At 35.3% G+C, this 13,244-nt stretch overlaps 1 protein-coding gene across 15 annotated transcripts in view; it reads right to left on the bottom strand.

Moving 5' to 3' along the window:
* Positions 1 to 13,244, bottom strand: part of AP3S1 (adaptor related protein complex 3 subunit sigma 1) — a 72,147-nt gene that overhangs the window by 36,607 nt on the left and 22,296 nt on the right. For 13 of the 15 annotated variants that reach the window (NR_157085.1, NR_157084.1, NR_157087.2 and 10 more), the window contains 2 exons: positions 10,714 to 10,805; positions 7,347 to 7,458 (listed from right to left, as the gene is read on the bottom strand). The exons of 1 other annotated variant lie outside the window; for it this stretch is intronic. Coding sequence is in view for 10 of the 14 variants with exons in the window: in NM_001002924.3 (NP_001002924.2) it covers positions 7,347 to 7,458; positions 10,714 to 10,805 (204 nt within the window). In the remaining 4 variants the exon portion in view is untranslated. The remainder of the gene's footprint in view (positions 1 to 7,346; positions 7,459 to 10,713; positions 10,806 to 13,244) is intronic. One more of the 15 variants, NR_157086.1, reaches the window with a different exon arrangement.

The raw sequence follows: 13,244 nt of genomic DNA, 5'->3' as shown, positions 1-13,244 counted from the left end.
GAACACGGGAACAGAAAACCAAACACTGCATGTTCTCATTCATAAGTGGGAGTTGCACAATGAGAACACATGGACACAGGGAGGGGAACATCACACACCGGGACTTGTCAGGGGGTGGAGGGCTAGGGGAGGGATAGCATTAGAAGATAATGCTGTCCTACATCTACCTAATGTAGATGACGGGTTGATGGGTGCAGGAAACCACCATGGCATGTGTATACCTATGTAACAAACCTACACCTTCTACATATGTATCTCAGAACTTAAAGTACAATAAAAATATATATATATTACAAAGCTTTTCCTCACAGGAGAATTTCAACTATTAAATATTGAGGTATGATAGAAAAAAACCCCACCATTTGGTAAACACCATAAATATTAATAATTCTTTTAGGTAAGAATGATCAATAGATATTAAGATGAATTAACAAATATATGACTAGAAAAAGTATATTTACATAGTCTCAAATATTCCCCATAAAAATACTAGCACCATGGGAAAATGAAACTTTATGGTGCATAAACCTGTTGGACTCAAACTTAACCAAGTGATCATCACAAATATCACAAGTAGTGGAACAAATGGACATCATATACCTCCTGATATGATGCACTATGGACATAACATTATTTCTGTGGTATTCTTGCCCAAAATGCACAATCTAAATCATTAAGAAGTATCAAACAAACCCAAATTGGGGAATATCAAAATAACTGGCTAGTACTCATCAAAAGGATCAGTATATGAAAGACATGAATGAAAGACAAAGTTAAAGAATTGTTACACAGTAAAGGAGATTAAGAAGACATGGCAGCTAAATGGAATGTGTGAATTACATCCAGAATGAGAAAAAGGACATTTGAATGGGACAAGTGGCAAATTGTAAACAAGGCCTACAGATTATATAGTAGTGTATCAATGTTAATTTCTTGGGTTAATAGCTGTACTGTGGTTAATGTTAAATTTGGGGAGTCTCTCCACCATGTCCAATTCCTTCCTGAAAACCAACCATTCTACATTAGGACATGATGAATTTACCTTAAATCAAAGAAAAAGACCAACATAACCTGAGTTTTTCTCTTAAACCTACATTGAAGGGAAGAAAATAAATTTTAAGTCACTTCCAGCTCCAAAACTCTGACTTTAAGCACTTGAGTTCTAAACTACTTCCTTCACTACTGTGAAGTAACTAAGAAAAGCGTGTCTACTATATTCTAGACCATTTGCTGATTGTTTATATAAATTAGTTCTAATTCTTACAACAATGCTGGTGAGATAAGTATGAATATCAGCACTTACAAAAAAGAAAACTGGGGACAGATGAGGTTAAGTAATTGCCTAAAGTTATATAACTGTTATGTGACAGAGCCAAGATTCAAATCCATACTACCTGACTCTAACACCCTGACACTCTAAACCTGACGCCATGATGCCTCCTAAAAGAACTGCTAAGACATCAATGAAACATGTAAATTAGAAAAGCAGTTATCATCAAATTTGATACCAGGATTTGTCACAAATAGCAATGTAAATAACTGAGAATTATTATATTTGCAATTGCTGGAAATCAGACTTCTCAAGCATGAAAATAACACAGGAAAATAATTTTAGGAATCCTGCACAACTCTAACAATCTGACCCAAACTATTTTAAAAAAACTGGGGGTTGCCCAAAAATACATGAGAAACAAATCTTACTGAAAACAGAAAGTTTTAAATAACCTGGTAATACAGTATAATGTAGGAGGCAGAATTTTCCTAAAATGATCCTGGGCATTCACTTGAGTGCCTGGAAAATAAGCTCGCTAGGCCAGGAATCCCTCTTGCTCCAGCAGGAGGAACTGCACCAGAAACTCATCTTCCTCTGGGACCAAGAGTTGGTTCATCTCCAACAGGAGAGTTGCAAATTCCCACAATTTCCAAGTGCTGGACAGTCGGTTTTCCTAGGCAATTTTAAAAAACAGGTGGTACCCAAACCTACATAGCCCAAGGCTTAAACAGTGTATCTGTCACCCCACCACCAAGTGTGCTTTCAGGCCTACCATCATGATAGATGAGAACCATAATTGGGTGGGCCTTCATCGGCACACCACTGTATATTCAGTCGGTCAGAAGTACCTACCTCGCCATAATTTGCCAGGTGATGCTGGGAAGATCAGAGACCTTTCCTCACTTAAGTATTCTTGGCTTATAAATTTCCCCAATGAAGACTATTTCTTATCACATAAATGTGTCATATAAAATTCATTCCAAGCCATCAAACAACATATAGGATAAAAAGATTCAAAAATGCTTCTAACAATGAGAAAGTCAGAAAGATTAAAAAAAAACATATTTACTTCAGTTTGTGTACTAACAAAATAATATTTTATATGCCTTTCTTACAAATATATGCTTTAGTGATAATGTTAGCTAAAAACCACTGAAATGTTAATCATTTAGTCATGGGTTTCACATGAAATATCTTTTTTTAACGCTCACACCTACTCTGTGAATTGGTGTTATTATTATTATCCCTGTTTTGTGGATGAGGAAAGTTAGGGTCAAAGAGGTTAAATAACTTGCCAAAATTACATAGTATATGGCAGAGCTAAATGGTTTTAACCACTACAAGATAATAGATAGCTTTAATTCACAGGTCTTTCTAACAACCTCTTGTCTGTAGGCAACATGTTGAAACAAGCATGTAAAGTTAAAAAAAAAATTAAGGTCTATAAAGAATAAATAACTTGCTCAACATCATACTAAATGAGCATTAGCAGCCATGAATAAAATAATTCCTCAAAAGGTAGTTTAACAGTACTGTAATAATAACAAATATTATATATGGAGCTCCAGTTTAAATATACATTCTAACAACATGGTCAGAACGTATCTTTCTAAACCTAAAGAAAGTTTAGCTGTTAGTTCTCAATTTTGTTGTTTTTTTAATCTAGCTACAACTGAATAAGACTGATGCTCTGATTACTGTTACATGTGGTACAGAAAACTGTAACAGAGATTTGGAATTATCCAGTGAATTTATATGCCTCCATTATCAGCTTGGCATAATAAACTAATTAAGGACAATACAACTGCTTATAAATAACTCAACCCAACATTAATATTTAATAAACTTCTATTCTCATCCTGTAAATATTTTAACACTTCCAATAACAATATGCTACAACAGAAAGGACTCCTTAAAAAGCTAGCTATTAACTCTAGCATATATGGCATACATAGCAGTTAATATCACACTAAAATGGTATATATCAATAAAAAAAAGTCCACCCCTTTTTTCCAAACTTACAAGGAATTTTTAAAAAGAAACAAAAGAAAACAAAAACTGATCATTCGTTTGGGTAGCTGGTGTAAATTCTGTGGACTACCAATGTAAATTCAGTACTGGTGGAATAGCGGTGTAAATTCCATAACGAATTTATTAATAATGCCTTCTCCCAGATTTTATACAGATACAAAGTCATATTTGGGACAACATATGCATACCTTAGAGACACTAACTCTCTGCATTAAAATATATGCTTCCAGTTATATGAATGGTATCACTTTGATATTTAAAATATCAAAATTATAAGCATAGGTTTAATAGTTACATATTGAGTTTTCTTGATCTGTTCTCTAAAAGAATATGCAAGACCAAGAGGTTTTGATGTAAACTCTCTTGGTTTATAATTTTCCACTTTTACTTTTTACATTAAAATTGCCTTTCTAAAAACTAGAGGATGAACAAATTAAGAAAATCAGTTCTCTCTGAATAGCTATTTGATGAAACAGAAGCAGAAATAATAAGCTATGCACTTCCATCTTTGTTTATTCAACTGATGTTTTTTAAAGTGACTGACTCATGTGTGCTCAGTACACTCCCTCTTCAGTATTTAATGAACTGTGGTAATTGAAGGGGAAAGATCACAACCACAGAACTTCCAACATGTTCCTGATAGTGACAGACATAGTACCTATAAGGTGAATTACAGAAATCTTCTTTTTTGTGACACAATACATCAGCATGTGGTAACTCAGGGGTATTGTAAAAACAGCTCTAGCCTACTTTAGTAATCGGAAAATGACAAAGTCCTCCTGAAATCCTTTCTTCTGTATGTTATCTAATATCAAAACAAGTGATCAACGTGTGAAGCATGGATAAAAAATTTTGCAAAACACAAAAGATAGTTTCTACTTTCCACGAGTACATGACAGAATTTACTTTGGATATGATATATTAATACCATGTTTGTTCTTTGAAAACTCCCCATCTAATCCCCTTTGGAGATAGAACTACTTTCTCATAAGAAGATCAACAACAGCATCAAAATAATAATCAATGGTGATGACTTAATCTCAGGACGCAAGCATAAAATACTTCTGATTTACCTCTAGGAAAAGACACATTTGTTTTGGTCTTTCTTAATAGCAACATTTCTCTTCAATAAGAGACTAAATTTGAAATGGTACACTTTCTCCTGTTTTTCTTCCTGTAATTCTAGTGGCTAGGCTCAGGTAAATAAAAACAGTGTTTTGGAACATAGTGTGCATGTCTACCACTCTCTTCAGTCATGGGAAACAGAGAAATAGAAAGCATGGTTCTATATTAATTTTTTTTCTGTAAAAATATAATGCTCTCTTGACATAATGATAAAATGAATTAACTACTCCCCTAGGTGGGATAAACTAAGAAATGTAAGAATAAACAAAGTTACAAGGCAATGCAATATATAGTCCTGATCAACCCTTCAATGTCATCAAAAGTAAGATTTGGCTTCTTTTTCTTTACTAGAAAAGCCTTGAGAAAGCAAAACATAACTCAGCAGTGTTTCTCAAGTAGGCCCCAGGAGGAAAGTGAACATATACCCAAGGGATCTTGGGGCACCTTTACCTCAAGCTCAAAATTTCTTTCAAGTCTCCACTTAGAGCTTTAAATATTATGAAAAATTTGTATTCTACCTCATAATATATACATGTTTACGTTCATTTCCTCACTGCCGCCAATCTTCAAAACAAAGAAGAAACATATACCAGGAATATGTGCCATGATTACCTTGTGGTTTCATGTAACTTTGATACCCAGCTCCTCCCAAAAACCCAGTTTAAGAATTACAGATTTAAGAGTAATATGGCATACAAATAGATCAATTTATCATTTATCTCCTTTTTTATTTTATTAACAATGTTTTTATTTCTATTTTTTTTGAGACAGGGTCTCACTCTGTTACCTGGGCTGGAGTGAGTGGCACAATCTCAGCTCACTACAAGCCATCCTCCCTGGCTCCCGCCTCAGCCTCCCAAGTGATTGGGACGACAGGTGCAGAACAGCATGCCTGTCTAATTTTTGTAGAGATGGGGTTGCCCAGGCTGGTCTCGAACTCCTGGGCTCAAGTGATCTGCTCAGCTTAGCCTTCCAAAGTGCTAGGATTACAGGTGTGAACTACCACACCTGGCCACAATGTTTTTATTTTTAAAGCCTTAGCCACAGTGCTAAGAATTTGTTACCTAAGTTGTCTGCTTGGGTTAATTTCTTGTCTATTCTGTAACGCCAACTAGAGCTCAAACCATGCCACCTTCTTGCTAACTTCAAAAGCCAATTTTATCTGTGCACTGGGAAGCAAGGTGCTAGAAGTGCTAGATATTTTAGGAGAGAGGAGACTGTATGAGTAGTCATCTAGAGGTATGGGAGAGTAAATGGACCGGGGAAACAGAAAATGATTCTTGCGTAGCATAAAGGACTCAATGAGCTAAGGGATCATTAATTTAAAGTGAGACTGGTAAATATGGTTACTTTTTTTTTTCCTCTAGGTATGTTCAGATGTATGGGTGTGGGCAAGGAGTTCAGTGTACACAAGGCTATATCACTACCATGATTATGAAATTTAAGCTGGATAAGGAAAGTAAGACATCAGTAAAATCAGAGTGAAAAAAATGATGGATTTTTAAAACTGAGGGTTGCAATAGGTCTAACGACTTCAAAACTGTGAAATTGAGATTATGGAGGGGTTACAGTTTAGACAAAGATAAAATCTAGAAATGGGTACATAGTGAGATGGAGTGGAGGGCAAAATTTATTGGAAGAGAGGAGTTCCAGATTTTGAAGACACCAGGATATTGGGAGAATTATACATATGAACAATGGAATCACCAAGAATTACAAAACAAGCAGTACTGGAATGAATGCCAGGGAACCAAGAACCAAAATCTATTAGGAGACAATTTTAGATGGATCTTGTGTTTCCACACGTATTGTGAGCAGAGGCATTGACTGTCTTTGTTCTGGGCTATCTTTTTAAGCATGCTTGTATATCAAACAGCCCTGGAAAATAGACAGTGTCTTCTTCCACAGCAAAGGATAGGTTTCCTTACACTCTTGGAAGAGACAGTCTTCCTTCCAAACAAGGGCAGACATGCTTAGTATCCATTATAAAAGATTCCAGTTCCCTAAACTTGGCGTTCCTCATCTGTCATTTAATCCACTGTGTGTGCAGGTATCATCTGGACCTCTTCATATCACCCTTTGGGAATTAGAGAATTCGTGCAAGCAAATGCTGTCACTTTAGCTAATGTTTTTGCTATTAGTAATAAGGTCCTTTGTCTCTGGCCCAGAAATCTCCTGCCTTCTGCCAGCATCCATGAAATTATGGCAGGTTAACTTCTTAGTTTGCAAGTAGAGCAAATCTCAGACCCTTCACAATTCTTAACAAAATCTCCAATGAAGGAGAGATGGAGATGAGTGATGACTATAACTAAATGGATAGAAGGTGGTATAGTCTGATAACATAAGATAAAATTTGGAGGTGTTTGAGAAGAAAGAATGGTCTGGAAAATGCAATGAGAAGCTAAGATTACACCTCCAGGCTCAAAGGCAGAAAGAAGCAGGAGAGAAAATGGCCACTACTTCAAAGGGTTGCACGTAGTATCATCAGGGAAGCAAGATTTAATTTAGAGCAAAATGTAAAGTAATATTAACAGAAGAGGCTGAAGATAAAAAGAAATTTGCTGATGACTGACCTTGAGTTCCAGGGACATTATGAAAGATTTTCAGGAGACAGGGAGAGGTAGGGTTTAGGGTTAGTTTTGGATACATGTGTTAAGAAACCCACGAGTCTTAAGCTCCTTGCTGTAACTTACATGAGCAAGATAAAATGTCATGATTAAACTAGTTATGATAGTTTTAATCAGATCAAATGTTTGCTTGTTTCTATGTCCTCTGACCTCTTTTACCAACACAATATCTATTATGAAATGCTTTATTTCTTACTAACATCATTTTAGAAAATTTAGAATATATAAGTTTTTAAAAATTTAAATGTCAAACTGTTATTTAAGATAGTAAGAAGCAAGTGTTAACTTACTTGAATTAGATCTAAAATGCCAAGTTCACTTTCTGAAGAATCCACACAGAAGACAAAATATAACGTTGCATAATGTCTATAAATCAGTTTGTTGTCAGATCCTCCAATTAATCTAAATGACAAAAAAATTGTAATGTTATTGGAAACAAAATGCGAATCATTTTCATTAGCTCAAGCAAACTGACAATTTGTTTAAAAACCACTTGTCAAATGAAAGGTGACATTCAATGGCAAAGTATTTAAGTGAACTTATTCAGAGACTAGGTGAATTAAGGTGGCTGTTTTCTTCAGAAACATCAAGTAAAAGAAGCCAGTGCTTAATTTCAGTTCATTCATTCATTAAACTATTCTCTGAGTAACTACTATGTGCCAAGCACTGGTAGTGGGGAAGAAGCAACAAACACACACATCAGAACATCATCAGATAGTGGCAAGTGTTACACTGACAATCAAAATACAATGATGATATATTGATGGGTTCCCTACTTCAGGCTGAATATTAAGCAAGAGTGGCATTTAAGCTGAGATCTAATGATAAGGAGTTGGCTTGGAAAAAATTTAGAGAAGAGCATTTCAGGCTAAGGTAGTAAGTACTAAAAGGACATTTCATCAAGAACAAAGTATGTATGTTCAGGGAAGAGAAAAAAGGCCAGTAGATAAGAAAAGATTAGTAAATGATAAAGTCAGAGAAGTAGGCGGAAATTAGATCATGGGGCATTTGTAAGTGCTTACTAGATTTAACTCCATACGTCACAGTAAGTTACACAGCTTAAGACTGATTATCAACCAGAAAAAAAAGAAGAATGACACTTCTTAAGTTTTGGATAGATTTACCGTCAAGATCTCTTCCAAAATTACATTGTTTTGACATAAATGCAAGAAAACTGAGCTAAGATACTAAACTCTTTCATGAAATACTTTTATTTATAATGACTGGAATTTTAGTATTTTAGAAATAATAATTTAGGAATCATTCCAAACATATTTTTCTAAATATAGTTTAGCTATTTCATAGTTAAGTTTACAATAATGAATTCACCTTCTTAAAAGACCCCTAAACACTTACATAATTTACAATCAAGGCTATATGTAACCAAAATTAAACTAACATCCATCCCAACAGAATATGGGAAAATGGCATCTCTCCCTCCCTCCCTCCCTCCCTCCCTCCCTCCCTTCCTTCCTTCCTTCCCTCCCTCCCTCCCTTCATCCTCTCTTTCTCTGTCTCTCTCTCTCTCTTTCTTTTTGAGACAGAGTTTCACTCTGTCACCCAGGCTGGAGTGCAATGGTGCTATCTCAGCTCACTGCAGCCTCTGCCTCCTGGCTTCAAGCAATTCTCCTGCCTCAGCCACCAAAGTAGCTGCAATTACAGGCGCACACCACCACACCTGGCTGATTTTTGTACTTTTAGTAGAGATGGGGTTTCACCATGTTGCCCAGGCTGGTCTCGAACTCCTGAGCTCAGGAGATCTGCACGCCTAGGCCTCCCAAAATGCTAGGATTACAGGCGTGAGCCACTGCGCCTGGCCAGCATCTATTTCTTACACAGTAAAAATAATACTAAACTTATAAGTTCTGTAGAAACAACTTCCCAAGGTATATACTACTTCTATGTCTTCTAATAGCAAAAGGAGAAATGATCTTTGACAAGAATAAAAATTTCCTACTATGCTAGATACTCTTCTAGAGAAGATGTTTAATTTAAAAATATCTACATGCAATTTAAAGATTCTGAGAGTATATTTACAGACTATGACTGCAATTGTTCCCTGAAAGAGGCAAAAAGAACACAAATAGGAGGCTTTACTCCATTCTGAATCAGCGATTTAGTGATTATCTTAAAACTTTTGCTTTACTTTAAAAGGACAGCAAACTTCTGAAGAATATAAGTTTCAAAAAGGCCAGTAATGCTATTAAAAGCAAGCAAAATATTAATGCGGCAAGTACATATTTTGCCTTTAAAAATATAATCTTATCTTTAAGCTATAGTATAATACTGACAAAAATTCCTGTACAGAATGTAATACATCATATAAAACCACAGGACTGAGAAATCCTGTTAGTCCAAATAACTCATTTTATAGAGGAGAAAACTGAGGCCTGAGAATTTAAGTAACCTGTCCAAGGAAATCAGCTAGTTAGTGACAAAACTAGGATTAAACTAGATGTGAGGCCTCATCTCTGCTGCAATATTTGCTTTCTATTTTTTGTAAGGTTAAAAAAGAACAATCACAATTTCCAGCCACAATTTCTAATTCAAATAGCACCCTAGTAAGATTAATCAAGTTCTTACATGCAGTGCACTGTGCTGGGTGGTAAGTTTCCTAGGAGATAAGAAATCAAGAGGCTAGGATGAGAGGAAGTGATAGTAATGTCAAAGACAACTAAAATTAAATAAGTACAAGTAAAATTCAAAAACAGAAGCAGGTACACTTGTCTCAATTATTAAATTAGAAGCCTTGAGTTAACAGCAAAATTTGTAAGTATGTATTGGACATTTAAGGACAGCATGATATAATCTTTCAGGAAACCCAAGTTAAGTGTTCCACATGATAAAAAGTACCTTATGACCATGGATTCCCTGTTATCCAGAGTATTTCTCATCCATCATACACAGTAAAATACAGAAAATTCTAAGTTTCTCTGACTGATTTATGTTTGAGAACAAACCATTTTCATGGAAGTTATTAGTTTAAAAGTATTTGTTTGTAATATTTGGCAATATTCTTATTCATTTTAAAAATAGAAAAATTGATTAGCTGAATTAGGTATATTTGAAAAACAGACTTCAGTCTTGTAACAGTAAAATAAAGAATGTAATCTAATTTTTATGAACATTCACAAAAAGGAATACTCTGTAGTCATTAAAAAGAATAAGCTTGTCCTAGATGTGTTTCTATGCAAAGCTTTTGAAAATACTGAGAACCAGCAACATGCAAATGAGCATACAAAGTGTGATCTCATAAATAAAAATTTTAAGGTTGTAGGTTAGTCAACACATATAACATACTTTATATGTTAGTCAATACAAACTATTTTCTAGAAGGATACACAAGAAATTGGGTAGAAGGACTAAGGTTGAGAGATTCTTATTTTACATTTTATACTTCCCTGTAATGTTGGAATTTTTACGATTTAATATATTACCTTTATATAAAATTCCCTTCCAAAATTTTTAAGAGGAAAAAAGATTGCATATCTTTTAAAAATAATTCTTTAAGTTAGATTTATAGCTAACATAGGTGGCAATTAATTCACCTAATCCAATTAATCAAAAGTAGAAAACTTTTACCATAAACTGATTAAACAGTATATATTTTAATCACATAGTCAAAACTTAGAAATGTCTATGAAATGCTTTACTTACAATCCTCCTTCTAGGAAATTACAAACATTTTCATCTCTCTTAGATACCAAATGGAAAGTCTCCCTGATGATTTGCTGTTGTGTATCTTCACTCTGAGGAAGAATAATTCATATATATTAGGATGGAGTGTATAGGTTTAATAGCATTTTAAGAATTTTTAAAATCAAAGGTAGCAATATCTGTCTGGGAAATCCATCTAAGAGAGGGGTCCTTGGAGAAGTGACTTAAATTATACCTTACAGAAGCAAAACCCAGTATTTTTTGATGAAAAAGAAAAAAAACCCAATTATTTATATTTACCACTATAATAAAAGTAACACATTTCTAAGTTTCAAAAACCAACAAGAAAAAATATTAGATGAATTACATACACTGGTAAAAGGGAAACTAGATATTAACTAGTCAAAGCTGATTATCTTACAAATGAGTAAACTGAATCAGAAAGGTAAAGATATAAATAGTGTAGCTAATCTATATTTGAATGGAGGAAAGAAATAGAACTATGGAGCTTCCAATTAAGTTTAACCTTTACTAAATATAGACTGAGGTAAGAGTCCATCCATCTTACTCATCTTTATATAAGCCGATCTAAAGCCAAGGATTGGGTCAATAAACATTTATTAACCTGGACCAAGCAATTCATATTCCAGTAAGAGTCAGCGTCCTGGCCGGGCACAGTGGCTCATGCCTGTAATCCCAGCACTCTGAGAGGCCGAGATGGGTGGATCACAAGGTCAGGAGATCGAGACCATCCTGGCCAACACAGTGAAACCCCGTCTCTACTAAAAATACAAAAATAGCTGGGTGTGGTGGCACGTGCCTGTAATCCCAGCTACTCGGGAGGCTGAAGCAGGAGAATCGCTTGAACCCAGGAGGCAGAGATTACAGTGAGCTGAGATCGCGCCACTGCACTCCAGCCTGGCGACAGAGTGAGATTCTATCTCAAACAAAACAAAACAAGAGTAAGCTTCCTAAACACTGCAATAGAAGACTGACCAAAATCATGAACACCAATTTCACAGGAAAGGATGTGAATGGTCCACAAAGAAATGAAAAGATACTAAATCGCAGTAGTAATTAAGTGAAATACAAATTAAAACAATGAGATAGCTCCACATGTACCATATCAGCAAAAGTATAAAAATATGATAGTAAAAAATGTTGACAACGATGTAGAGCCAAAGAAACTCTCATCTCACCAGTGGGAGGGTAAACATATAATCACTTGGGGAAACAGTTTTATTAACCAGCACTTTCTCTCCTAGATACTAATCTAAACCATATGAAACCAGTTTTTGAAGATCAAAAACAATTGCACATTGGCAATTACATAGACAGTTGACCCTTGAACAATGTGGCAGTTAGGGATGCTGATCCCCCATGCATTTGGAAATCTATGCATAAGTTTTCACTCCCCAAAAATGTTAACTCCACTACACTTTTTCTCTTAACAATTCTTAAAGTAAGCTAGAGAAAAGAAAATGTTATTAAGAAAATCATAAGAGAAAATATATTTACTATTCACTGAGTGGAAACAGATCATCAAAAAGGCTTCCTCTTTGTCTTCATGTTAAGTAGGCTGAAGAAGCAGAGGACGAGGAGAGGTGTTTGTTTTGTTGTCTTAAGTATGGCAAAGGCAGAAAAGGTGGAGGTAGTGGATGGGGAGGCTGGAGAGGCAGGCATACTTGATATAACTTTATGGAAATACACAGTAATTTCTGTCTGCCGTTTTGCTTTTTCATTTCTCTAAAAATGTTTCTATACAGTACTAATCCTTGTTCCACTGTCTGCTTTAGCTTTAGCATCATATTACAGAAGGGTCCATGTCATTAAAAGAAGTCAAAGCAGTCTTGAATAACTGGAACTCTTCTGCCAGATTGTCTAATGTCAATTTGTTTTCTGGCGCTGCTTCTTCTAAGTCTACTTCCTTATCATCTGGCATTGTTCAGAAGCACTCATCTCCATCAAAATGTGTTCTGCTAATTACTCTGTTGTGCTATGCGCTCTTAGATTTCTCTGAAACCCTTATCTTGAAACCCTTCATTCTCCCACCTTTTTTGCTACATTCACAATCTCTTCCATGATTTCTTTGATTGGTTGTGTCATAAATCCTGTGAAGTCATGCTCAACATATAGACACGGTTTTCTTCAGCAGGAATGCACTGTTTCAGGCCTCATGGCTTTCACAGCTTTTTCTATAACAACAATGACATCTTTAATGATGTCACCCTTCCAGACTTGCATGATATTCTATTAAGATTCTCTTGCATAGTGTTGAAAATCCTTTCCATAAATACCAAGTGTAATGAGCCCTAAAGGTCCTTATGACCCTGATCTTTAGGCTGAATTACAAACTTTGTGACTGGGGGCAAGGTGACCACTTCAATGCCTTTGGTGTTGAACTCATGGGGTTCTGGGATGCCAGGGGGATTGTCCAATATCAAAAAAACTTTAAAAGGCAGTCACTTACTAGCAAGGAATTTCCTAGCTTCAGGAACAAAGTATCTATGGACTCAATCCAGAAAAGGGGT

Source organism: Homo sapiens, chromosome 5 (genome assembly GCF_000001405.40).
Source record: "Homo sapiens chromosome 5, GRCh38.p14 Primary Assembly".
NCBI classification, from domain to species: domain Eukaryota; kingdom Metazoa; phylum Chordata; class Mammalia; order Primates; family Hominidae; genus Homo; species Homo sapiens.
Note: the sequence above shows the minus strand (reverse complement) of the source record. Positions and strands in the feature narration are given on the sequence as shown.